The sequence below is a fragment of the Homo sapiens genome, chromosome 1 (assembly GCF_000001405.40).
Source record: "Homo sapiens chromosome 1, GRCh38.p14 Primary Assembly".
Lineage (NCBI taxonomy): Eukaryota > Metazoa > Chordata > Mammalia > Primates > Hominidae > Homo > Homo sapiens.
This window is the reverse complement of record NC_000001.11, coordinates 234,550,726-234,578,401: the sequence shown is the minus strand read 5'-3', so window position 1 is coordinate 234,578,401 and position 27,676 is coordinate 234,550,726. Positions and strand designations below refer to the sequence as shown.

Genomic DNA, 27,676 nt, shown 5'->3' with positions numbered 1-27,676 from the left:
GGGCCTGAGAGTCTGTGTTTTCAACAAGCTTCTGGGCCACGCTGGTGCTGCTGGTCTGAGCACTACCCTTTCAGTGGGAAGGTATAGATCTCTAGCTCCTGGGAAGCCTGTGTCAGATCTGATTTGACCCTATTTGCTCAGTGCTTGGCACTGTACCTGGCACTGTACCGTGTGTGTGTGTGTGTGTGTTGGGGTGGGGGTGTTTGGAAGGAAGGGAGAAAGGAAGAAAAGAAAGAGAGGTGAAAAGAGAGAGAGAAGGTATAAGTTTTCCATTGAGTAAATCTTTTCTGTTCTTGACATTTACCACCTATTAAAAACCAAGACAGGCACAGGTGAGGCAGAGGTGCAGTAAGGCTAGTGGAAGCTTCTTAAAAGATAATGTCTTCCCAGCATATTTGTAGATGTGTCTGTGGCCCTCAAGGCTTGCTTCCGAATTGGCATGTCCCTGTGAGGATGCCAGCGTTCTCTCAAAGATGGGGGAGCTGTGGCGTACTCACAGGCACTGGTCACTGAAGAAAGGACACATTCAAATCATAGGCTGCTTTTATCTCGAGCTCACTGACCAAGTGGCTCCAGGTCCAGGGAACATTTGAGGAACAACACTTTCTTTAGGAAGTGGTAAGACTTTTCCGTTTGCAGAATTTGTATGAAAGCCTAAAGACTCTCAGATATTTACATCTCTGCTCCTCCTAATGTATAAGACAAGGCTAAAATGCTTGATCTACAAAATGCATCTTGCCAACAGCCAGCAATGGAGACTCTCCTCTGCCATGGTAGCTTTTCTTTTTTTTTTCTTTTTTTTTTTTTGAGATGGAATCTCGCTCTGTCGCCCAGCCTGGAGTGCAGTGGCATGATCTTCACTCACTGCAACCTCCTGGGTTCAAGCGATTCTCCTGCCTCAGCCTCCTAAGTGGCTGGGATTAAAGGCGTGTGCCACCACGCCTGGCTAATTTTTGTATTTTTAGTAGAGACGGGGTTTCACCATGTTGGTCAGACTGGTCTCGAGCTCCTCACCTCGTGATCTGCCCACCTCGGCCTCCCAAAGTGCTGGGATTACAGGCATGAACCACCGCACCTGGCTGCTTTCCTCTTAAAGACTGCACAGACCCAGGAAGGTAGTGGGGGAATAGGTGTGTTATATAAACAATTAGGTGGTATGCCTGTTCGCAAATTATGTGAACTTGTGCTAAAATTCATCATTATTGTTTTCAGAAAAAAATGCATTCTAAATAAATCGTATATTTTTATTATAAAATGAACCTGGCTGGGCATAGTGGTGCATGCATAGTCCTAGCTATTCAGGAGGCTGAGGCGGGAGGATTGCTTGAGCTTGTTCAGGGTTACAGTGAGCTGTGATTGCACCACTGCACTCCAGCCTGGACAACAGAGTGAGACCCTGACCCTGTTTCTAAAAAAAGAAAAAAAAAGAAATAAAAAGAAATTAATCTAATCCGAAACCATTTTAAAAATAGAAAAAAAACTAAAACAAAAAGGGAAAAAAGTCATTCCAATACATTAATATTTACTATGTTAAACACAGCTTCTAAGAACATTTAGCTATATTTTCTTCGTCTTTTTTTCTGTGTGTTTTTTCATGTGTATACTAATTTTTACATAATCATGACATGTGATATGTGTAATTTTATATGGTACTTTTAAAATTTAACATTGTATCTGTCAGAAGTATTTCCCATCTGTCATAAGTATTTACGATACCTTCATAACCATCATTTTCACTTCCTTCGTGATTGTCCATTCAATGGCTGTCTCAAAGTTTATTAACTGAGTCACTAATGCAGTTGTGTATTAGGTCTTTAAGTTGTTTTGAAGGTTTTACAAATATAATTGTGCAAAAAATGTAATTTTGGAGGTGCCTGTTTATACATGCATATAGAGATTTAGATTATCCTAACCAGCTTGAAATCCAAAACAGATATATTGATCCAGATTTTTAAAACAGATGTGTAACAGGCAACATAATAAAAGCATTCAACAAAATGGTCTCTATGAAACAAACAGGGAATAGACAAAGTTGAGGCTCCTCAGCCTCTGCTAAGGAGAGAGGATGAAGTGGCCAGGGCCCAGGCTGCAGAGGGATTTGAGGTTCAAGAGGCCAGGGGAGTGACCACCCACCACACTTGGCAACCAGTTGACCCATGACTTCTCCCTGTGTGCCAGCCTCCTTATGGAAACTGGGTAGCAGTACCTACCTCGAAGGGTGTAGCAAGGGTGAATGAAATACACAAAAGCACTTGGGACAATGCCTGTCCCAGTGTGAGCTCTCAATAAAAGTTAGAAAACACAGCCGGGCACGGTGGCTCATGCCTGTAATCCCAGCACTTTGGGAGGCCAAGGCGGGCGGATCACCTGAGGTCAGGAGTTCAAGACCAGCCTGGCCAACATGGCGAAACTCTGTCTTTACTGAAATACAAAAATTAGCCTGGCATGATGGCAGGTGCCTGTAATCATAGCTACTTGGGAGGCTGAGATGGGAGAATCGCTTGAACCTGGGAGATGGTGGTTGCCGTGAGCCGAGATCCCACCACTGCACTCTAGCCTGGGCGGCTAAGCAACTCCGTCTCAGAAAAAAAAAAAAAAAGTTAGAAAACACCATGGTGGGCAGGCGTGGTGGCTCATGCCTGTAATCCCAGCACTTTGGGAGGCCGAGGCCGGTGGATCATGAAGTCAAGAGATTGAGACCATCCTGGCCAACATGGTGAAACCCCGTCTCTACGAAAAATACAAAAATTAGCTGGGCGTGGTGGCATGTGCCTGTAATCCCAGCTACTCAGGAGCCTGAGGCAGAAGAATTGCTTGAACCTGGGAGGCAGAGGCTGCGGTGAGCCAAGATCATACCACTGCACTCCAGCCTGGTGACAGAGCGAGACTCCATCTCAAAAAAAAAAAAAAAAAAGAAAAGAAAACACCATGGATCATGGTGTGGCCAGGTGCAGTGGCTCACACCTGTAATCCCAGCACTTTGGGAGGCCAAGGCAGCTGGATCACTTGAGGTCAGGAGTTCAAGACCAGCCTGGCCAACATGGTGAAAACCCATCTTTACTAAAAATACAAAAAAATATAGCCAGGCATGGTGGCAGGTGCCTGTAATCCCAGCTACTTGGGAGGCTGAGGCAGGAGAATTGCTTGAACCTGGGAGGCAGAGATTGCAGGGAGCCAAGGTCATGCCACTGCACTCCAGCCTGGGTGATGAAGCAAGATTCCATCTCAAAAACTAAAAAAACAAAAAGGAGGAAAACACCATGGTGCCACCATTCACAGTGGTCAGGGAAGCTGCTCCCGCCTTTATATGTGGGGGCCTGGGGCACAGATGCTATGTGTGTAGATATTAAAAAATAAACAAAGAAAATAAACTGCTAAGTATGTTCCATCCTTCCATCTTGACAAATATTCTTTTATCACAAAAGGTACAAAATATGTGTAAAGCTGTGATATAATGGATGTAAAATATGACAAGAATTAGCAAAATCTCAAGGAGAAAAGAGTCTGATCATTTGTGAGCCTGTCTGGGATGTTATTCAGCTAGCAATGTCTGGATGAGTAATAAGAATAAACACATATAAATTCATTAAATCTCATATATTTATTAATACAATTTATTTTCTTGCCTTCCTTTCAGAAAAATCATGGATTATATTCTTATAATCAAAATTTTCACACAATCTGTGTTCCATTGATAGCAATAATTTAACAGATTGAAAATAAATGTAATTATATTAAAATATACACAATTTGAGTGCATTTTCATCAATATGTAAATCAATGTTAATATAAAAAACTAAAGATTTAATTATTTTGGATGTTTCAAAATGTTCTTTTTCCTCTCAAATATTCAAAATTATCCATTATAACCAAAATGCAAATTAATAAGTATCAAAAATTAAAATAAAATTATTTAAACAGATCTGAAGAGTTTTTAATCTTTAAATGATTTAATTACATTTTATTGCATATTTTTATGAAAAGAAAACGATTTGTAATTCTAGCAAAGACCATTTAGTTGCTAATGTAAAGAACTGGTTTTGTACTTCACACATATTACATCTACAACTATATTTATATATAAAGGTAAGAGAAATAGGAGTTATGTACTATTACAAAATGTTAGCCACAGTGTGTGTGAACTGTTGCATCTACTGTGTGCAATATTTTAGTACCTCTGGAATCCTGAATTGGAATGGGAAGAGAAGTGAGAAAATGAACTCTTGGCTCTGTTGGGAAATAGTTCTTTATTATGCAAGAATCTGTCACATCCTTGCTGTATGATAGGAAGAATCTCACAAGGTAGTGAGTTTGTCTTCTCTTATCAGCACTTCTGATGCTCACATCCTCTCCACACTCTGAAGTGGTGTGCATTTCTGAAGTCAACAGCAGGTTGCACAGACACCTCAGTACTTGGATACAGTTGCCTTTTATTGCAAAGGCAAGATGCAAGGACAGGCAGTGTGAGGAAACGTCCCTGGGGCCTGAGCAGCATTGCCCAAAAGAGTGGATGTTGAGATTGCAGCTTGCTGTGGCTGCACTGAACGCTGGGGCTCAAGTGATGGGGTGTCTGTGTGCACTTTAGTAAGTGTATGTGTGTATGCCTGTGTGATGTCTAGGGGCTATTTAAAGTGTGAGAACTGGCTCATGGCCTCCCTTGCCCTGAAGGCAACACTACAGAAAATAAACAAGTGTTACTATGGACAAATATTTATTGGGATTATTTTTTCTGCAGTTCACAAATCCTTCTTACAAATATCATTATCCAGATTTTTTTCTCTTGTTGACTTTGAATCTATTCTGAGTGTTTCTCAGTACTTTACCCATCTTAAATGACTTGACTTTTAAACATTGAGCCTATGTCAGTTTTGACATCCATTTGTTACAGAAAATAGAAGGAGAGGGATCCCTCCTTTCTCATCACCAGGGCCAATTCCAAATTTGACAGCCCATCCTAAAACAGGGCTGCATATCTGGAGAGAAGTCTCATGATACAGAACAGAGGGGCAAAAGCCCAGAGGAGGAGAAATAGGTTGAAATGCAACTCAGAGTCCCCGCTGCGTTCATTAAGAATCTCTTTGAATCACGATGCTTTTTTCATGATCTCTGAAGCTGCTGAGTTTTGCTTCCTACCAGAAGCCTCCAGCCGTTTGTCAGGGACAAGACTCCAAGAAAATAAGGGGAAAGTGTGGTTGAATAGGAGGCAGTTGTTTCTGCAGCCTAGGCGGTGGTATAATGATATCATTGTCTGCAGGTCTGGGACTCTGGGCCCTGGGGCAGAGGCAGGGCGGCAACCTGAGCTGCCTGGCAGAGATGTCAGAATCCGCAGAGGTGAGCCCACCAGCCAGTAGTGGCCATTTGTCCAGTTGTCTATGAAAGAGTATCAGGTAATGCACTAACCCTGAATTCTTCCAGTAAACTCACCACCTTTTTCTCTAGAAGTTTTTTATATTGCTGATCTTTGATTTCTAGATAGACTACACCAGTTTTTTGTTTGTTTGTTTGTTTGTTGTTTTTTTTTTAGACAGAGTCTCACTCTGTTGCTCAGGTGTTGCTCAGGCTGGAGTGCAGAGGCATGAGCCCAGCTCACTGCAACCTCCACCTTCCGGGTTCAAGTGATTCTCCTGCCTCAGCCTCCCGAGTAGCTGGGACTACAGGCATGCACCACCACACCTGGCCTGTATTTTTAGTAGAGACGGGGGTTGGCCATGTTGGCCGGGCTGGTCTTCAACTGCTGACCTCGTGATCTGCCCGCCACAGCCTCCCAAAGTGCTGGGATTACAGGCGTGAGCCGCCGCGCCCGGCCAGCTTACACTGTATTTTTAAAAGTCCTCTCTCTACCCTGGATTTAGTCCATTGTTTAAATGTCATTATTTCAAAATCATAATTTTCCTTCTTAATGGGTTAAGGCAGTGACTTCATTTGCAGTCTACCTTAGGTTATAAATTCTCCCTCTCCAAAGCACGTTTTAGGGTTGGGTCTCAATATACTGTCTGTTGCTTTATATATATTATGATTAAATAACTACTTTCTATAACATCAATATATATTTATTTCAGGAATATAAAGATTGGTGGGAAGGCAGGGAGAAGGGAAAGAGAATAAATCTGTGGTCTAACTGGGAGATGATAAATCACTTCCACAAGTCTTTCTGGAGAGCCCACTACGTATTTGATGCTGTTGCGGTGCTGGGGTCAGGGGTGTGACTTCTACCCAGCTGCTCATAATCTAGGAGGGAAGGCAAACCAAGCTCACAGATAATTGTCATTTAAGGGAGACTAAGGTGAAGTTATTAAACAAATACAGTCCAAACACTGTTTACAGCTATTTGTACGGATCAAGCAACATTTCCTGGCAAAAGTGTTTGAAGAGAAGTGAATGAGCATGGTCCCAGAGGCCAGAAAACACAGAGGGCCAAGAAGCAGCCCACTTTGATCTCAGCCACATTGGATAGGGCTTGGGAGGCGAGGCTGAGACATGTGCATTTCATTTGGTAGGCAGTGGGGAGCATGCAGTTTTTAAGCAGGGAGAGGATATGATAAGAGCTTCATTTAGGAAGATAAATCTGGCAGCAATGTGTATGACAGATTAAAGTCAAAGAGGTAGGAGATAAAGAGGCCTGTCAGAAGTTATTACAGCATCTTTGCATGGAAGAAATGAGGGTCTGAGCTGAGAGGAAAAAAACAGGACAGTGAGCCAAGGCCTCCTGGGTTTACTTGTAGAGATATACCCTGTCAAGACCGAATGATGCTCCTATTCCTGCCTGTGTCTGCTTGTGTGTTTCGCATGCGTACATTTCAAGCATGTCTTTTGCCCATTATGCCTGGCCCATGTAAATAACGTGGTCAGCAGGTCTTGGGTCCCAGGTTAGGTCACTCATAGGCATTGCTGGGGTAGTAGGATGGTCAAGTGAAGGCTTGGACTAGAAATACAGCCCTGTTGTTGGCTGAAGGTATAGGTGAATCCCATAACATGGTAATGAACTCCAGAACATTCTAGTGGACTGAAAAGGAAAAAAAAAAGAATACACATATGGCAGTGTCAAAAACCAGGTGGGCAGGAAAACCAAATCCTGGGAAAGGTTTAATACCACATCCTACATGAGGCCTCACTCTGCCAGTCAGGAGGAGGAGGCCATGCTCAGAGATACTGGACACACTTCTGTGTTTTGCTGAATCCCTGGAAATCGGAGTCTGAGGCTGCAGTGTGCAAGCCAAGATGTTTACTGGAGAGTGCTTTGGGGTCAACATCTGCCAGGGGTGAAGGATGCAGAATTGGGGAAAAAGAGAGGTTGAACCATGAAACAGGTGCAACAGAGGCCTCGCCCAATCCCTGGGGAGCTCTGGATTGAGCATGGCCCTTCCCAGTTGGCCCCAATTAGGGCTAGAAGGCAGGGCCTTTGTATCCTGCATTGACCAATTACTGAAGGTGGGGTCCTCCCAGGAAGGGGGAATAACCCCAGCCAGGTGGCTCCCATTAGCCAAGGGCAAGTCCTAGAGAGGGTCTCAGCTGTGAACACTCAGCAGCCAACTCTCCTTTGCAGCGGAGAGAATGAGGGCCCCAGTTCTTTGGAGAGATCTGAGGGCACTGTGGCATCCAAGTACGTCATCTACTTTCTGGGGATGGGCTTTGTCTCTTTTGAGAATCTTGGGAAAGAGGCCAGCAGAGGGAATGTTATTACCTAGAGCGCTGCACTTCTGAAAGCTGAAGGACTGTGCAAAGCCAGCAGTTGGGGGTCGTGGGGTGACAAGGCCAGGGAATCTGAGCTGGACAGCCTAGGGAAAGGTAGCTGAGGGTGGTGGCAGGGGTGAGGGCCTGCAGCCAGGCAGCTTGGTCTTCGGTCTGCCACTTACTAGCAATGTGACCTTGGGCAAATTACTTCATCTCTTTGTCCCTCAGTTTCTTCCTTTGTGAAACATGGACAAAAATAGTTCTTACCTCATAGAATTGTTGTGAGACTAAATGAGATAATGCATGCAAAGTGCTTACTGCTAGCCCATAATAAGTAGGGCCCCATTGAGGGTGGCTGCTAGTATCATTATCTCTATTGTTCAAAATTATAATGAAATAGGTTGCCTAACTCGGAGAAGGGCCTTAGGCAAATACTGGAAGCCAGAGTCCTAATCCAAGAGGTCGGAAAGGTAGGAAAATTGGGGCAAACACAGAAGCAAAAGGTGTGTGTTCGTGCAGAGGAGCCTCAACAAATACCCAAGAGAAGGGCTGATGTCCCATTGACTTTGATGATGTGTTTTCCACCAGATAATATAGCAGAAGCAGCCTCATTTTCAAAAGCCAAGAGGAAAACGGAACACATTCCTGGTGAGAAATTTACTGTGTTCTTTATTTTACTCTATTCCTTTAATTGGATTTAATCACAAACTTCTCCTTCCCACTGAGTTTTCTTTATCTTGGATTCCAAGTCCTGGCTTTGCCACCTACCATCTGTGGGCCTTGGGCAAGTCACATCACTTCTCTGACCCTTGATTTCCTCATCTGTAAAATCAGATGAATAATGCCTGGTCGTATTTGGTGGTTGTGAGATTCCGATGAGAAATTATATTTGGAAATCATTTGCAAACTGTAAGACACAAGACCAATGTTGTTATTATTAGGATTGTTCTGCCGATTGCTTTTGCTTTTCTGGATGTGAGGCTCGTAACCAACAGAGGCTGGAGTGGAAAGCCACAGTAATGAACAAGAAGGCTATGGGAAAACTGGGGTGAAGACGTTCTCCATAGTAGCTTTCCTGTCTGAGTGAGGATTATACTATGTTTTGTCCCTTCATGGATAAAAGGCCTGTTTCATGCCAGACCCAGTTTGAGGCCTTTAAGATCGAGGGAAATATAAGATATCATCCATTCTGTCAAGGTATTCATGACACACCTGTTTGGTTATGTGAATTAAATTCTATTTCCATAGGTAGCAAAAGAGGTCCACAGGTTCACCCACACTCCATCCCCCAGTCCCCAGATTATCTAGATAAAGCCCTCTTGGGAACATGAAGCTCCTGCCAGGTGTCTGTCATCCTGAATTATTGCCATTTGGGTTATGGCAGACATCTCACCTGTGGGGTGGTGATACCCAAGTGTGACACACACTCACACACAGGTTTAACTTCCTAATTAAATTGGAATTGGAGAGTGGAGTCATCTTATGAGCATAAATGTTAACCTTTAATGGATTTTAATTTATCAATCTTTCTTTTATGAGTCATACTTTTTTTTCTGGTCTAGTTAAAAAAAATTGTCTGTTGGCCCGGCGCAGTGGCTCACGCCTGTAATCCCAACACTTTGGGAGGTCGAGGTGGGCAGATCACAAGGTCAAAAGATCGAGACTATCCTGGCCAATGTGGTGAAACCCCATCTCTACTAAAAATACAAAAATTTTAGCTGGGCGTGGTGGCATGCACCTGTAGTCCCAGCTACTTGGGAGGCTGAGGCAAGAGAATCGCTTGAACCTAGAAGACAGAGGTTGCAGTGAGCCAAGATCGTGCCACTGCACTCCAGCCTGGTGACAGAGCAGGACTCCATCTCAAAAAAAAAAAAAAGTCTTTCTTCTGTTCCGTGGTCAAAAAGTTTGAGAGGTTTCCTTCTGAGATTTAAGTCTGAAATCTAATTAGTATTGATGTCTAGGGAGTATGAAGTAGGGATCTAATATCTTTTCCTCCATATGTATATGTATTTTTAACATAAAGGACATTTCCTAAATGATAGGAAATATGAATGTGTTGGGAGAAAGAAAAAAACAAACAGAATTGGGTTAGAGATTATAGGAGGTTAAGAAGACTAGGTCAGTCCTCAGAGTTGATTAGGATGAAACCCTTCAGGCCAAGGGGGTAATGATGTCATTTTCTTACTCCTCTGACCCTCTTGGCATGTGTCGTTTTTATTTTAACTCAGCTTCCATATTGATTGCATGAGTCCATGAGCCAAGCTGGGTCATAGTGGTGAAGAGGAGCAGTTAAGTAATAACCATGCTATCAATTTGTTCATTTGCCTTAAAAATGCCTATTGAGCATCTGGTACTGGTAAATAACAATGGATAAGTGTAATTTCTGCCCTCATGGAACTTGCCCTCTAAATATGAGTACACAAATGCAGTATAGTTTCATAAATAGATGTGATCATCTCATATTCATGAAATTATCATAGTTAACAAAGTTACTCTCATATATGATCCCCGTTTATATGTCTAATTGAGGCTCAGGGACTTGTCCAAGGTAACGCAGCGAATTAGCATAGAGTCAGAATAAGAACCTAGATTTTTCTTTTAGTTCAGGGTTTTCTCAACTATTCTGTTTCCTAGCATAATCTCAATTTGCTGATGGCTTTTATTGTACAATTAAATCTCCTGCTTTATTAAACCTGTCTCTATCTACCAGTCAATCAACCTCTCATTCATCTATCCATTTATCTGTCCATTTATCTATTCATTTTTCTATACATTCATTTATCTCTGTATTATCTGACCATCTACTTCCCTATCTGGGTAGATGGAGTTGGTGGTGAAAAAAGCATTGGAAAAGATTTGAGGCTACCTGAATTCAGCTAGATCCCAGGCTTATTCCTAGCTAGTTGCCTAACATCAAGCCAGTTACCCTGTATATTTGCAAATCAATTTTCACATCTATGAAATGAAGATTTTGGACCAATTTTTTTTTTTTTTTTTTTTTGAGATGGAGTTTCACTCTTGTTGCCCAGGCTGGAGTGCAATGGCATGATCTCGGTTCACCGCAACCTCCGCCTCCTGGGTTCAAGCGATTCTCCTGCCTCAGCCTCCCGAGTAGCTGGGATTACAGGCATGTGCCACCATGCCTGGCTAATTTTTTGTATTTTTAGTAGAGACAGGATTTTTCCATGTTGGTCAGCCTGGTCTGGAACTCCTGACCTCAGGTGATCTACCTGCCTCTGCCTCCCAAAGTGCTGGGATTACAGGCATGAGCCAACATGCCCGGCCATACCAAATTTTTTTTAAAGTGTCGTCTGGGTCTAATATGATGTCTAAGTTCATTTTGTGCTGCTATAACAGAATAACTGAGACTAGATGATTTGACTCATGGTTCTGGGGGTTGGGAAGTCCAAGACTGAAGGGCTGCATCTGGTGGGGTCCTTCTTGCTGTGTCATCCCCTGGTTGAAGGCAAAAAGGCAGAGCGTGTGCATGAGAGAGAGAGAAAGAAGGAAAGGAATCTGAACTCATCCTTTTATCAGGAACCCGGTCCCTCCAAAGTGAACCCACTCCAGCAATAACAGCATTAATTCATTCATGAAGGCAAAGCCCTCACAACCTGATCACCTCCTTAAGGTCTAATCTCTCAACACTATTGCTCTGGGGACTCAGTTTCCAACACATAAACTTTGGGGGACATATTCAAACCATGGTACATGATTTCTTATTAACTTGATTTTTCAAAGTATTGTCTCCGTTAATACTCCTTTAATTCACTAATAGGTAACTTCACATTTGTACACCTGTTGTCTATAGCTAACTCCCAGGCCCCTTCTCTGTTCTATTGATTAGGCTTCTTTGATTGCAATTAAGAAAAACACAATTTAGGCTTGGCGTGGTGGCTCACGCCTGTATTCCCAGCACTTTGGGAGGCAGAGGTGGGTAGATCACTTGAGGTCAGGAGTTCGAGACCAGCCTGGCTAACATGGCAAAACCCCATCTCTACTAAAAATACAAAAATTAGCTGGATGTGGTGGTGCACACCTGTAGTCTCAACTATTCAGGGGGCTGAGGGACAAGAATTGCTTGAACCCTGGGGCGGAGTTTGCAGTGAGCCAAGCTCGTACCACTGCACTCCAGCCTGGGCAGCAGAGCGAGACTCCATCAAGATAAATAAAATAAAATAAAATAAAATAAAATAAAATAAAATAAAATAAAATAAAATAAAATAAACTCACTTATGCAAGCACAAGACTCTAATGGCTTATATAGTTGGAAATACTGGGTTGGTCAGAATTGAAGCAGTAACTAATAGAACCAGGGCCTCTGGACTAGAACTAGGAATTCTAAGTGACCATATCTCATCTCTATCTGTATTTTATGATTTTATGTTTCTCTTTATTTATAGAGCTCATTCTCCTCTACTGCAGAAAGGCTTTGCCCACACAACAGAAATATGGCTCCTGGCCTCTCCAGCTAAGCAACTCCAGTAGAAAAATTCCTTCTCGTGTTGTGTGTACATCAGTACAAAGGGAAGGATTCTGGCCATTCTCCACGTATGATTGGGACATCGGATGATTCTGGAGAGGGTTCCTGTAAGCCACAGCCCCAAAACAAACCCATGGAATAGGGGAAGGAAAGTTCTCCCTCAAAAAGGATGCTGAAGAGCAATAGTTTTTAAAAATATTCTTTACTACCATTAATCAAATAATAAGAGGCTTATGGGCAGAAATATCAGCAGGGGAAAATTAAGGCAGAGTAATTGTTAGGACCACAGAACCTGGAAACAGCTTTCCTGGGTGAATTCCAGCCTCACACTTAAGCTGTGGGACCAAATTACAAGATCTCTTTAAGCCTCACTTATTTCACCTATAAAAAGAGAGACCAATGTTCCCTATGTCAGTAAATTACCATGAGGATTAAATTTATATAAAATGCCAAGCACAAAGTAATGATTATAACGGTTGGCTATTAGCTGCTTCTATCACTATATTGCTGTTAGTATTAAGATCATACAACAGGTACATAGTAAATGCTGGAGTCTGAACTAAAGCAATGCCCCCTGATGCCTGACCTAAAGTACTTCCTACTACAGTGTGAATTAGAGCAGGTGAGCATTGGAGAGCAGCAGGTAAAACAGTAGTGGAGGTGAGTTAAGCAGGATTATGCTGCTGACATTTCTAGATCCTTGCCAGAGGCCAAGTGTCCAGTGACCTCTTCTTTATTTCTTACTTTATAGTTACTATTATCACCCATTTTATAGAATAGGAAACTGAGGCCTAGAATGATTAACTTGCCAGCAGGGGCACCCACCTAGGAGGCAGTGGAAGCTCTCCTTTAGGACCTTGCTGAGGCATTCGCAGAATAAGCAGGTTCCTTAGTGCTCTGGCTAGACAGGATTAACGCTTGTTTCTTTTGTCATTGCACTTGCCTAGTGGGCTGTCCAGCTCATGGTTGGCACTCAGTCTTTTCAAAGAACAAATGTCAACCATGACAATTGATGAGGAAGAAAGCAGAAAAATGTAGAACTCAGACTCCACCAAGATGTATGTTAGTTGGAAGTTATAGATAAGTTTCCCTCAAATATATAACTGTCACTATAGCCACTATTTTATGAATTAGATGCCTCACTTCCAGGCAAACTTGGAACTGATTTTTGTTGCAAGAATGAACTTAGATCTACCTAAGACTTCACCATTCTCATTTTTTACAATTCAGAAATTTCAAAATAATAAGCGTATGCTAGGTCATCTGTAGACCTGTTTCTCTTTGTTACTCAATCCCACAGTCTGACAGTCTGCTCTGAATTTCTGTAGGCTGTATCATTCTGTACCTGCAGGAGAGCGGTGACTCAGCCTGTGGAATAACTCCCTTTCCCTCATTATGACATGTCACCTTTATTTCATTGCTGTGGCATGTTTCTTGCCCTGTGGCTGAAAAACAAGGCAACCCAGTCAGGAAACCAAAGCAGATTCTCTACTTCTGAGTCAAAGCGTGAGGTCTGCCAATCTAGACCTGGAAGACATGCTCTTACACCTTGCCTAATCCTCCAAGGAAGTTGTTTTTCTCTTCTTCAACCCCATCCCTTCCCTCCCACCAAGCCCCTAAGAAGGCATAACCATGGAGCTATTTTTACCTGAAAAATAAATCCAGGGGACGAGATCTTTTAGGTTGCATTTATCAAAACAGTGAATGTTCAGATTGTTGGCTTATTTAAAAATTAAATATTTGTTTCTGCAAGGATTGATTTATCTGGTGTTGGTAGTACTGGGTTACACACTAGGATTCTATGAGTTACACACTAGGATTCTATGACTACATTGCAGCTGGATTGTCAGGCTGTCTGTGGTCATAGAGACAGCCTGGATAATGAATGAATAGAAATGTCAGGGCTTCGAGATTTTCGAGCCCCCTTTCCTTATCTGGAAATGGGGATTAAAAAATAACTCCTTTTTAGGTTTGTTGTAAATGAGAATATATGTAAAGTACATGTAAGAAGATATCTCTTATCTCTATCAAAGTAATCTTTCCTATTGACTTGCTGTGTAACCCTCACCACGATACTGGTTTCTGCCTTAATTGTCCCAAATGATAAAACAGAGATAATTGTATTTGCCTCTAAATCATGTTTTCAAAAACTTGAACTAATGAAAGTATAAATTAGTATAAATTTTCTGGAGGCAATTTAGTTTTATCTATCAAAAAATTATATATGCATGTATGTGTATATATCTCCTTTAATACAATTTTACTTTAGAAATTTGTTATAAGAAACTAATCAGGTATTATTCATAAGTATGTTAATCATGACATTGTTTATAATATGAACAATTACAACAACCTACAAATCCTACAATAGAAGATTGGTTAGGTAAATTATTATACATCATTATATAAAGGAATATCATTTATGTAGTCAGTAAAAATCATGTTGTAGAAGAATATTTATTTTTAGGGCAAATGTGTGTTTTGTAAACAGCAAACAGCCAAAAGGATACACTGGTATTTTTAATAAATAAGAAATGTACATACATACATAGAAAAAAAACACTGGAAGGCACACACTGAAACATTCATCATAATGCTCTTTGGTTGAAATCCAAGTGACTTTTGCTGTCTTCTTTTATGCTTTTCTGTGTTTTACAAGTTTTCTTTATTTCTCTAATTAGAAAAAAAGATCTTAAAATATGCTGTTAGGCAAATCTCCTTTTCAAATGAGCATTATAGTTTAATCCATTATCTCTACCTTTAAAATGCTTTGGAACTACTTAGACAAAACTTTGTAGGCTGGGCGTGGTGGCTCATGCCTGTAATCCCAGCACTTTGGGAGGCCGGGGCGGGCAGATCACAAGGTCAGGAGTTCAAGACCAGCCTGGCTAACATGGTGAAACACCGTCTCTACTAAAATCACAAAAATTAGCTGAGTGTGGTGGCGTGCACCTGTAATCCCAGCTGCTTGGGAAGCTGAGGCAGGAGAATTGCTTGAACCCCAGAGGCGGAGGTTGCAGTGAGCCAAGATTGTGTCATTGCACTCCAGCCTGGGCAACAAGAGCGAAACTCCATCTCAAAAAAAAAAAAAACAACTTTGTAAATGTAGGCATTGAAACAAAGCTGAGAGGAAACAGCTCAAAATGTTGACAATGCTACCTGCATGTCATGGTTCATAGGTGATTTCATGTTTGCATCTTATACTTTGTGTTTTCAAAGTGTCTACACTCTGCATGTATAACTTTTATACAACAGAAAAGTGCTAGTAAAATGTCTGTTGAATAATTATTATTTATAAAGAGCAATATTTTCTGAATGTCTTCTGTGAAAGCCACTTTATTCGGGCTTTTATCTTAGCTGAATTTAGTTTATCTTGCACTCAGTTTAACTGGCTCAAAGAAAGCCCCTGTTTCTCAGTTGCACACTGCCTATTTTGAACAAAACCGAATTTCTTTTTAAAATCTTTCATTCCTACTTAGGGTCATTTTAATTTGCAATACCGAGTTGTTCAAAGCTCAAGCCCCAAGATGCCTGAGGGAACACAGCGCTCAAGCACAGCCAGCCGAACCGGAGGAAGGCCTGAAAACCTTCCAGGCCTGTCTGGCCTCGTGGGATTGTCAGATGGATTCTAGATCAAAGGGGTTTCGGTAAATGCATTAACTCTAGGCTCCTGCTTTCCCCTAAGCCTGGGATCCACTGGATGCTTGCCCATTTGGGCTGAGACCTACGGTGGCTGTTTTTGGAGCAAGGGTGTCTCAAGGTCACATCGAAAGAACTGATTTTTGTGTCTGGTCAAACAACCAGAATGTGTTTACTAACATGAATGAGAATTCCAAGGTCAATTCTGGGTTTCTAGCAAAAGAAAAAAAAAACACTGATATTCAGGATAGGGATAAAGAGTAAACAAAGTGATAGGTCTAGTGCTGAAACTCCCTGTGTGGTAACTACTCTACAGATGCCTCTCTATGACCCCCTTCAATGCATACCCCACCCTCTCGCCAACAAACTGGATCTTATCCTGGACATACAATGGGCAAATAAATTTGGGACCAGATAATGTTTGCCCCCATCTTTTTTCTTTTATTAAAGGACAAGAGTTACTTTTAGTTTTTGAGGAATCTTTATACTATTTTCTTTTTTTTTTGAGACGGAGTCTCACTCTGTCGCCCAAACTGGAATACAGTGGTGCGATCTTGGCTCACCGCAGCCTCTTCCTTCTGGATTCAAGTGGGATTACAGGTGCACGCCACCACGCCTGGCTAATTTTTTTTGTATTTTTAGCAGAGACGAGGTTTCACCATGTTGACCAGGCTGGTCTTGAACTCTAGACCTCAAGCCATCAGCCTCCCTCGGCCTCCCAAAGTGCTGGGAGTACAGCTGTGAGCTACTGTGCCTGGCCTCAGAAGTTACTTTTATATTCGAAAAAGACTCTTACTGACAGATGTGAGCAATGATAATGTGTTCTTAGAATAAACACCACCACAGATTTTTTTTTTTTAATGAAAAGCAATAAAACTAACAAAGTATTTCAGCTGGTGGTACCACAGGGAACTCAGCTGTTCAGGCCAGAAATCTGGGAGTCACCCTGGCCTTCCCCCTCTCCTTCAACCCCATCTCCGATTCCAAATCATCGCTCAGTTTTCTCTAGACCATTCCCTTCTCCAGTTGCCTACTGGTCTCCTAGCCTGGTCCTCATGACAGCCTAGCTTGGCCCCCTGTATCTGCATGCAGGGCGACCTTTGCCCTTTTCCTAGAGTAGACCTCGTGGAATGCAGACCTAACTACTTCATTCCTGCTTGAATCCTTTCCTTACTTGGATAAAACCTGAGCTCCTGGACATGACATTTGGAGACCTCAGGGATGTAGCCTTCCCATATCTCTCTAGCCCCTCTACCACTCCTACTGCCCACCTCCAACCTCAGCAACGCCTGAACTTCCCATAGCTCCCTGTACCCCAGTGGGGCTGGGACCATAAGTGGCAGGGCCCAGTGCACAGTGAAATTGCAGTGCCTCTTGTTCAAAACACAGATTCAAAGCTAAAATTACCAAGAATTTCAAAATGGCAACCACAATGCGTTAAACCCCAAGCACAGGGCCTGTGTGGGTTCTCAGGCCATACACACATGGCCTTCAGGTGTCTTCACCTGTGCTCCCCTGCCCCTCCAGTGCTTTGCCTAGAATGTCCTGCGCAGTCTCAACTACTCTCCTCTTTCTCCGTCAGCTGTAAGAATCACTTGGCTCAGGGATTGGTGCCCAGAAGTCTCCCCAAGCTTCCCTTTCCATGACCTCAGGCCTGGAGCTGGGGTGGGGATTTCTGCTCAGTACTCCCTCTAGACCAGCAATTCCCAAAGGTTGATCCACCAACCATCTACCACATAAGCACCTGGGATGGTTGTTAAAAATGAATCTGACTGGGTGTGATGGCTTATACCTGTAATCCTAGCAGTTTGGGAAGCCGAACAGGGAGAATCATTTGAGGTCAGGAGTTCAAGACTAGCCTGGGAAACATAGCGAAACCCCATCTCTACAAAACACTAAAAAATTAGCCAGGCATGGCTGTGCATGCCTGTCGTCCCAGCTACTCGGGAGGCTGAGGAAAAGGATGGCTCGAACCCGGGAGGCTGAGGAAAAGGATGGCTCGAACCCAGGAGGTCGAGGTTACAGTGAGCTGAGATCACACCACTGCACTCCAGCCTGAGTGACAGAACAAGACCCTGTCTCTAAAATATACATAAATAAATGAGAACAAATCTGAATCTCAGGGGACAGGGCCTAGGCCTCTGCCCTTTAAAAGGTCATCCATAGAGCTCTTTGCAAGCTGAGATTTGAGAATGAGTGTGCATAGCACGCAGGCTCCTCATCAGGGTCTGTGCTCCATTCTTTTGCTTCCTTCATGTCTAGCGCCATGCTAGACAGGCAGGCAGGTGCTTGCTTGATGTCCACGCCTACCTGTGGGATGCAGCTAGCCTCTTCCAGCTTGAGGTCTGCCTTCAGAATCCCACCTGTACTTCTTGATGACAATCCTGAGTCCTTATGGGGAGTTAATGCATCTCTGCATGGCTGCAATGGCTGGGCCACCAAGGGTCCCCAAGAGTGACCCGTGGGGTTGGCACTTCCTGGATGGGGCCGCCAGCTGGTCTGTGCTGGGTCCTTGGCTTCCATTATCCTGCACCCCGAAGTGAGACTCAGCTTGTGCCTTGGCTTCCTGGGAGCTCCAGAAGGGAGGAGAGAGAGGACACTCTCTCCATAGCTGTGTGTGTGACAGGGCATCTCATTTTCCCCGAGGCTGAGAGCCCTCGTGTGAGTCTCCAGGCAGGCTGCAGGCCAAGGAGACTGCAAACGGTGCCACAAGGCCCCACACTGGCAGCATTTCCTCAGCTGTCTCCCTCTTCTTCTTCAACGAAGAGATGGCATCAGGAAATGAACTAAAAACCCGGGGGCCTGGCTCTGGCTCGTGTCAGGCCCAGAGACAGTGAGAGGCAGCAGTGAGCTCAGCTGTGGCCATGTTTGCCCTGGTCCTGGCCCCAGGGCTGGGAGTGTTGATCATAGAATCCAGGGAGTTGTGCCCCAAGCCCAGAGCCAGCCCAGTCCCTGCCCCCTCCAAGCCTGGGAGGCAAAGCAGCACCCACAATGCTGTGCTGGCTGCCTCCTGCACAAGGCCCCAACACAGGGTGCTGGGCATTTCCTTGCACTGGACTTAGGGCTTCCTGATCTCAAGGGGAAGAGTCTACCTGGGGGTGGTGGGTGTGCAGAGGGAGAGCAACTGGCCTGAAATGTTTGGCCACCATTCATTCCTGTCTTCCCTGGTGGAGTGCCAGCGCTGGCAGGTGCAGCTCAGTGATCAAACACTCATTCCGCTGCAAGAGTGTCCTCTCTGTTGGGCTCACCCTTGGCTCAGCCCTGAGGTCCCAGCTGGCCACACCCCCAAGACCAGCCCACAGCCCTCCTGGATCAATGAACCTCTCCATGAGCAGACCAACAGGGGCCCTTGGGTCTCCCCACTGCCCTCCTGCAAGGCATCAAGGGTCCCCTTGAGCAGCAGCCTCTCTTTTTTTTTTTTGAGATGGAGTTTCACTTTTGTTGCCCAGGCTGACGTGCAATGGTGCGATTTCGGCTCATTACAGCCTCCGCCTCCTGGGTTTAAGCGATTGTCCTGCCTCAGCCTCCCAAGTAGCTGGGATTACAGGCATGCACCACCATGCCCAGCTAAGGTTTTGTATTTTTAGTAGAGATGGGGTTTCACTATGTTGGCCAGGCTGGTCTCAAACTCCTGACCTCAGGTGATCCACCCACCTCAGCCTCCCAAAGTGCTGGGATTACAGGCATGAGCCACCGCACCCAGCTGAACAGCAGCCTCTCTTGTCCCTATTTGGAGGTGTAAGCACCAGAAACTAGAGGACAGCTTCACAAAAACTTGGTCTTCTCCCTCCTGTTTTGATTAGATCCAAAGTGCTTTCACTCTGTTTCAAAAATATTTTTGGTTTATTTTATGGCTGTTGTTTCAAAGATAGGCTCTTTCTAATTAACGGCACGATCAGATTAGGACCCCATGCCAGCCAAACTAGGCAAAACATCTGGGCCTCTAGGAAGCCGGTACAGGGAGGAGAGCCCTGCGGTTCCCTCAGCATGAAGGAGGATAGGTTGCCCCATGGACCATTAAGCAATCGTCTGGGAGCCAGTTGTCTGGTGGTCTGTGTACGGTTGCCTGAGTAAGCAGATGTCTCACAGATCAGGAGATAATCAAGCCACTTACATATCTAGTGCTTCAGCCACGCACAGTCTCTCACTATCCCCCTGAAGTTTTCCTTAATCATGACCATCATCACCCAATAATCATAGCTTCAATTCATGGAGTGTTTGATATGCGCAAGGCGTGGTGTGCAAGGCACGGTCTGGAGGCTTATAGGGTTTCATTAAACGCCATAACAACCCTGAAGTGTTGCAGTTGTTAGCGCCATTGATAAATGGTGTGACTGAGGCTTGGAGGTGGGGGTAACCAGTCCAAGGTCAGACCGATGGGAAGGTGTAGACTGCACCCGATGCCGCAGCCATAGGGAACCTTGGCAGGTACTGTTCCCTTAGTGGGTCTCACTACAGGCCCCTTCCCTTGTGCAGCCTGCCCAGTTAGCGGAAGAAGCAATCAGTCCTCTGCCACCCTGTAGCCCTGCCTCAGGTCTCTGTAGCATTTCTGCCACCTATGGTATTACACACACACACACACACACACACACACAGAGAAAGAGACAGATATATATATATATTATATATACACACAGGTATATATATATATACCTATATATATATAAAAGATATATATACATATACATATATATGCGTGTATATATATACTATATATAGGTATATACATATATATGTATATATACACACATATACATATATGTATATGTATATATAGATATATATACAGGTATATATACGTGTGTGTATATATATATCTATGTATATATATGTGTGTGTGTGTATATATCTCTATATATATACACCAGTATGTGTATATATCTATATATCTATATATATATGATTTGGTCTTTGCCCTGGTTCCTGACACAGAACTCCTAAAACCCTTGGAATGTCCTGAATGATGGGAATGCCTTTTGTTATTGATAATAAGCCTTTTTGGTACACCTGGGTTTAGGCTGATGAGATGCTCATAGGTGTTACCCAAGCATCATCCACCCTACCTCCAGAGAGAGGAGGGGGGCTGGGAGTTGCGTTCAACCACCAACGGCCAGTGATTGAATCAATGATGACTACCTAATGAAACTGCCATGAAAAACTCTAAAGGAGCCGGGCACCTGGCTCACACCTGTAATCCCAGCACTTTGGGAGGCCAAAGCAGGAGGATCACTTGACCCCAGAAGTTTGAGACCAGCCTGGACAACGTAGAGAGACTGTGTCTCTACAAATAATTTTTAAAAATTAGCCAGATGTGGTGTCATGTGTTTGTAGTCCCAACTACTCAGGAGGCTGAGGCAAGAGGATCACCAGAGCCTAGAAGATCAAGGCTGCAGTGAGCCGTGATCATGCCACTACACTCCAGTCCGGGCAACAGAGCAAGACTTTGTCTCAAAAACAAACACACAGACAAACAAAAAGCCCAAAACAACTCTAAACCATGGAGTTTGAGGAGCTTCCAGGTTGCTGAAGATATCTGCCTGCGGGGAGGGTGGTGTGCCCCGCCTCCATGGGGACAGAGGCTCATGTGCTCAGAACCTTCCAGACCTCGTCCTCTGTACCTCTTCATCTGGCTGCTCGTTTGTATCCTTTATAATAAACTGTAATGTAAGTATAGCATTTTCCTGAGGTTTGTGTTTGTAGTGAATTACTGAACCTGATGGGGGCTCGAATGTGAGGTTGGCTAGGCAGAAGTGTAAGTAGCTTGCTGTTTTTGTCTGTGTGGGTTGCTATACAAAACCTCAGACTGGGTAATTTATAAACAACAGAAATATATTGCTCATTCTTCTGAGGCTGGCAAGTCCAAGATGAAGGTGCCAGCAGATTCAATGTCTGGTGAGGGTCTTTTCCTCATACAACGGCAACTTCTATGTGTCCTCTCATGGCTGAAGGGGTGAATGAGCTGCTTCTAGCTTCTTTCCTAAGAGTCCTATTCATAAGGACTCCACCCTCATGACCCAATCCCCACACAAAGACCCCACCTCTTAACACTATTGCAGTGGGGAATAGGTATCAACATGGATTTCAGAAGAACACAGACATTCACACCATAGCACATGGGACCCTGTTTGTGGCTGGCATCTGAAATGGGAGCTGTTTAGTTGGGCTGAGCCCTTAATCTGTGGGGTCTGGGCTCAATCCGGGTAGTTAGTGTCAGAAATGAATTGACTTGTAGGACACCCAGATGGTGTTGGAGAATCTAACTGATTGGTTGTTGCTGGAAAAACCACCACACCCCTCTACTGAACTGTGAGCTTCACAGGTCCAGAGTGGGACTGGAGTTGCTGTTTCAAGAACATCAGGCCGGGTGCCGTGGCTCACACCTGTAATCCCAGCACTTTGGAAGGCTGAGGTGTGTGGATCACCTGAGGTCAGGAGTTTGAGACCAGCCTGACCAATGTGGTGTAACCTCATCTCTACTAAAAATACAAAAATTAGCTGGGTGTGGTGGCGGGCGCCTATAATCCCAGCTACTTGAGAGGCTGAGGCAGGAGAATCACTTGAACCCAAGAGGCGGAGGTTGCAGTGAGCCGAGATCGCACCATTGCACTCCAGCCTGAGCAATAAGAGTGAAACTGTCTCAAAACAAAAAAAAACAAAAAAAAAAACAAAACACATCAGGGGTTGGCACAGTGCCACAATGCCACAGTGCCTGGCACACCATAGGTGCTGATTTGACCCATTAATCAGCAATTTCAGGCTCTTAGTCTCCAGGTTTGGTTCTCGAAATGTCTTCCTCTTCAGTTGAGTTAATGAAACAGGTATTTCCTGGGTTGGTCATGGTAAACATGGTGACGGGTGTTAGTGAGTTTCAGGGCACAACACCTAAGGTGACATCGATTGTGGGTGACATAACAAGGACCCATCACCTCAGTCTCATGACTGGGACACAGTCCCTCAACCTCACTGCCTTTCAGCTTTCCAAAGTGTCCTTCCTTATTTGAAGCCACAGTGGTTCCATAGCACCAACACAGAATCACGTCACCATGAAGCTGGAGCAGCGTGCCTTAGGTCACCTGATGAAAATGGTCTCCAGCTGTGTGTCATTCCCATTCCAGACTCCGAGTTGGATACTTTTTTCCCCATAAGGCGGTATAATTGACCCTTACATCCAGGCTTTCCCCTCCCACCGAATGTTGTGTATCTCAGGCCTATGAGACTCAAATCCTCTCTCCTCTGAAGATGCATAGAGTCAAGGCAGGTTGGGAGGGAGATGGTTCCAGAAAGGCCCCTACTGCTGTCAGCAGCTTCCAGGGCAGAGACGATTCACTGGGGTGGGCAGTTCCTGAGCATGGAGGCCGGCTGGGCATCCATCCTCAGCTCCTTCCTCTCCTGGAAACGGCTTCTTCAAAAGGGTCTGTGCCAGCCTTGCTGGTGGGGAGGCCTGTTCTGAGCCTCTGGGGTTGTTGGAAGGTGGAGTGGGGCTGGGGGAGGGGTGAGGAGGAGGCCTGGAAAGCTGCCATCAGAGTGCGGCTGGTGACAGCAAGAATCTATCAATCTTGCCTGCAGAGCCAAATATGGTGCTGGGGCTCAATAGGTAATAAACAATGGTCACATTGCAGGCTGGACAAGGAGAGACATTACAGATGAGAGGGAAGGCAGGCCTGATGTCACCACGTGTGCGGTCCTGGCTGGTGCGGACTGCATCGCCCCTCCCGGCTCACCCCAGGGTGCAAGGAGTCCATATTTGTCCTTGTTGAGTCCACATGTGTTTTTATTTATTTTTTTAAATTTTTTGTACAGACAGGGTCCAGCTGTACTGCCCAGGCTGGTCTCAAACCCTGGCCTCAAGCAATCCTTCCGCCTCGGCCTCCCAAAGTGCTGGGATTGCAGTCGTGAGTCACTGCGCAGGCCCTTACATATGTTTTTCCTTGATATGCTCAAAAGGGGGAAACTGAGTCCTGCTTGTCATGTTGAAGGGGTATTCTTGGCGCTGTGCCATGACTCCTAGGCTCTCAGAGGCATGGCATGGATTGAGCCCTGTCTCACTGTCTTCACTTGCTTTCAGTAGCATCATCTGCTCATTGCCAGACTCTTAGCAGTGATGAGAGCACATATTGTTACTGGAAATGGCCAGAACTGGCAAGTTTTTTTTAGCATAAATGCTTTAAGCACACATTATTAAAATCTCAGTTTTAGCTATTCCAGGATAGCTGTTTGTAGAGAGCTGGGGAACACGCAGACGGCTAAGGACCTGAGGACAGCTTGGCTGGAGAGACAAACACTTGCACATACACGTCTGAGAATGAGCACTGTATTTTCTAGGCCAGGGCCAAATAGTCAGCAAGGCAAGGATGCGAGGCAGGGGCCCGGGAAGACGTCAGTGGTGTCTTTCTGCACATTAGGTTCACGCATTGGCTTCACCAACAGGGTGAGATCTATTCCTTTTTCTTGTGCCTCTGTGTATATTGGGGCTTTTTCTTAACAATCAGATTTACCTGGAGCTTGGGTCCCATATAATCACACAGAAAAATGGCAGTGGGGGAGGTAGCGTCACATCCTGCTGAGAAGAGCACAGGACTCTGAGCCAGAAAGAACGGGCTTCGAACCCCAGCTGTGCCCAAGATCAACCATGAGACCTTAGAGCAGTCAACTAATTCATTGAGCTTCATCTGCTTGTCCATACAACGGGGGACTCCCGTCCGCTCAGCAGGGCATTGTGAGAATCAGAACTAGCTTTCGAAAGAGCCCAACATAGTAGGTTTCCAACAGAATATACTTGCTCTTGAAGCGAACGTGGGTTCTTCTAAACTGAAATGATTAACTGCCTGGAGGTGGTTAATGGCTAGGAACTCTGCTTACCCCTGCTGTACATTTTTGTGGTTCGGAGCTCTTTCCAACAGGCTGTGGCTTTAAAAATGCAGATAGCTCCTGCTAAAGAGATAAAGCTTTCCCGAGGAAGCTAAAGGGCATCCTGTTCTGATTAGCACTGACTCTGTCTGGACTGTAATGCCTCCACCCGCGTCAGTCACAGAATGCTGAGCAGGGATCTGGAGGCTGCTTCGAAATGTGATTGCAGGCCTGACCATGAGACTAGAATACATCACCATCATTCTGTCGGTCATCCTCAAGGAAAATCCACTAAAGGTTTCAGAAAAAAAGCCTGGCCAGGGGTCTGCAGCCTGCCACGTGGGAGCCTGAAGTGGGGATGGTCGACATGCATCTCCTGGGCCGCTCTGGAAGTGACAAGCTTCCCAGTGGGTCAGGACAATGTGGCTGCCACACGGTGCAGGGAGGGATAGTCACCATATGCAGGCCACATTGACCGTGCACGCTGATCTGACCCAGTGCTGTTTACTCTGTAATCACTGTCTGAATGAAAAATCAGGAGATCCATGCGCATTTGCTTCATGTTGTTCGGGATGGAAAATCCTCATCCTTTGTCCCCGAAGAAAAATATCTGTGAGGCCATCAGTCTAAGCTTTAAAGGTCATGGAGGGAAAAGGTACCAGCGCCATCTAACTCTGCTGGACCAAATCCGTGAGGGGAATGAGGTAAAAATGGGAAATGAATCAGTACATCTAAAAAGAGAGGCAAACCATTATTAATGCAAGAGTGGGACTCAACCTAAAATTCTACTTATTAGCCTTCATTGTAAGCTTGCAATTCATATGTCTCCCACAATGAAGCTACATTAAGAATAGTAGATTAAATAAATAAATAAAGAGTAATGGAAGAATGTGATGATTGCCATTTATCACCCATAAATATCCACGTTTCTATTCTGTGGAAAAAAATCAGTGATCTAAATATTAACCAGTAGCGCACATTATAAACACTTACTTACATATTATGATCACCATAAAGTCATTACAACAGAAATAAAAACTGTTTTTTATTTTAACTATTAATATTCATCAAATGTTAATGAAAATACCTAACAAATAATTATGAAAAACACATTGCTTAAGTAATAAAGATGAAAGAGATGATAATCGTTGTGAATATTTAATCTGCAAAATAAAGAACATACCATTAATAAGACTTAATTATGTCATTAAATATTTAACTTTACTTTCTCTACTAAATTTTGCTTGCATTTTGCATATTTTAAATGTGAAAAGCTTCTTAATAAGATTAGTAGTTTCAGCAACATAAAATGCCCGACCATTTAAGTTTGACTTACTGTCTTCATCAAATTGGTCAAACATCATTTTATTTATCATTAAGTGAAATGAACAACCCTCTTTGCTGTTTATTACAAGTTATGCTTTATCCATAAGGGAAGTTGAATAATTGATTCCAGGTTTATACACACAAAAGTGATGTTTTGTAACAGTGAAGAAAATGAATTGCTTTCCTTTTCCATTTTTTTTTTCAGTATCACATAATCTCCCACATTTCCTACTGTTTGCGTAGGAGAATACAGATCTGATTTGACCTTAGTGTGCTGTAGAATAAGTTCTACACCATTCACAGTTAAATCCATTCAGTTCCTCACAATTGACCCCCATCACTTATAACTCTGGCTTCGGAGAAATCTCATTTCTTTGGTTTAAGATCAAAGAGAGTTGGCCGGGTATAGTGGCTCCTGCCTGTTAATCCCAGCACGTTGGGAGGTTGAGGCAGGAGGATTGCTTGAGGCCAAGAGTTCAAGACCTGCCTGGGCAACACAGCAAGACCCTCTCGCTATAAAAAATTTAAAAATTAGCCTGCTGTGGTGGCGTGTGTCTGTAGTCCCAGCTGCTCAGGGAGGCTGAGGTGGGAGGATCACTTGAGCCCAGGAATTCAAGGCTGCAGTGATCTGTGATCACACCACTGTGCTCCAGCCTGGGTGACAGAGCGAGAACTTGTCTCTAAAAAAAGATGACAGAGGCCAGGTGCGGTGGCTCACGCCTGTTTTCCCAGCACTTTGGGAGGCCGAGGCAGGTGGATCACTTGAGGTCAGGAGTTCGAGACCAGCCTGGCCAACATGGTGAAACCCCATTTCTACTAAAAAATACAAAACTTAGCCGGGCATGGTGGTGGGCGCCTGTAATCCCAGCTACTCGGGAGGCTGAGGCATGAGAATTGCTTGAACATGAGAGACGGAGGTTGCAGTGAGCTGAGATTGCACCACTGTACTCCAGCCTGGGCGACAGAGCACGACTCGGTGTAAAGAAAAAAAACAACGACAGAGAGCGAGTTAGATTCCTACTACTGCCGATCCACAGTCAAGGGTAGTCTCAGATCTCTCGAACTTACCTCAACACAAAGCCAGGGTCTCCCTCTCAGGTGTCCAGCATGGGGCCTAGCTGTCTCTCCCACCATCTCCTCCCACGCCCCTTTGGGACCTGGGCCTCGGATGACCAGAAGCTGGATGGGCAGAGCACAGGTACTCTGAGGCAGCGTCAGGCATCGCTGTGCATTGGGACAGGCAAAGCTTTCTCATCCGTGCATCTGCATCTCCTGCATTCCTGGTGAGGCAGCTGAGGCAGTGGGGTAAATGCCCATGCTAGCCTTGTCCTTTGCTGGCTAAGACATAAAGAGCTCTTTGTTGGAAGTGGAAGGAGAATCCTGACATGACTGCTGCTTGGGCAGTACCTCAACCTGGCTCTGAGGGCTAAGGGGGCAGCTGGGCAAGGTGCAGGTTGGCCCAGGCCTGAGGGCCTCTCTCAGGATACAGGAACCTTCAGAGCTAAAACCAAGGATGGTTCCAGACAGTGCTGGAGGGCTGGTCACCCCTACAGTGTTTCTGATCTGTGAGGCACAGAACAGTCCCGGATGAGACCTGGAGGGGCAGACCAAGTGGAAGACAAAGAAGTCTGTTCGGAAAGGCCTCTTCCTGCCCAGGCAACGGCTGGAAAGAACAGGAAAAGGCAGGGGGAAAGCCTGAAGTCCCAAGGA

At 44.5% G+C, this 27,676-nt stretch overlaps 1 long non-coding RNA gene across 1 annotated transcript, besides 2 other annotated features; it reads left to right on the top strand.

Moving 5' to 3' along the window:
• The first annotated feature begins 8,060 nt into the window (after positions 1-8,060).
• On the top strand, positions 8,061-13,809 carry LOC107985465 (uncharacterized). Its single transcript, XR_001737831.2, has 3 exons — positions 8,061-8,141; positions 8,260-8,319; positions 12,075-13,809. It is a non-coding gene; the product is annotated as an uncharacterized LOC107985465 (long non-coding RNA).
• Positions 23,205-23,499: a silencer, noted in NCBI's record as "tiled region #4208; K562 Repressive DNase matched - State 5:Enh". NCBI's record gives its function as "represses a minimal TATA promoter and a strong SV40 promoter by Sharpr-MPRA in K562 cells {active_cell/tissue: K562}" and the evidence as "EXISTENCE:reporter gene assay evidence [ECO:0000049][PMID:27701403]".
• Positions 24,881-25,088: a silencer, noted in NCBI's record as "fragment chr1:234689060-234689267 (GRCh37/hg19 assembly coordinates)". NCBI's record gives its function as "represses an EF-1alpha promoter that drives an FKBP-Casp9 reporter gene in an ReSE screen in K562 erythroleukemia cells {active_cell/tissue: K562}" and the evidence as "EXISTENCE:reporter gene assay evidence [ECO:0000049][PMID:32094911]".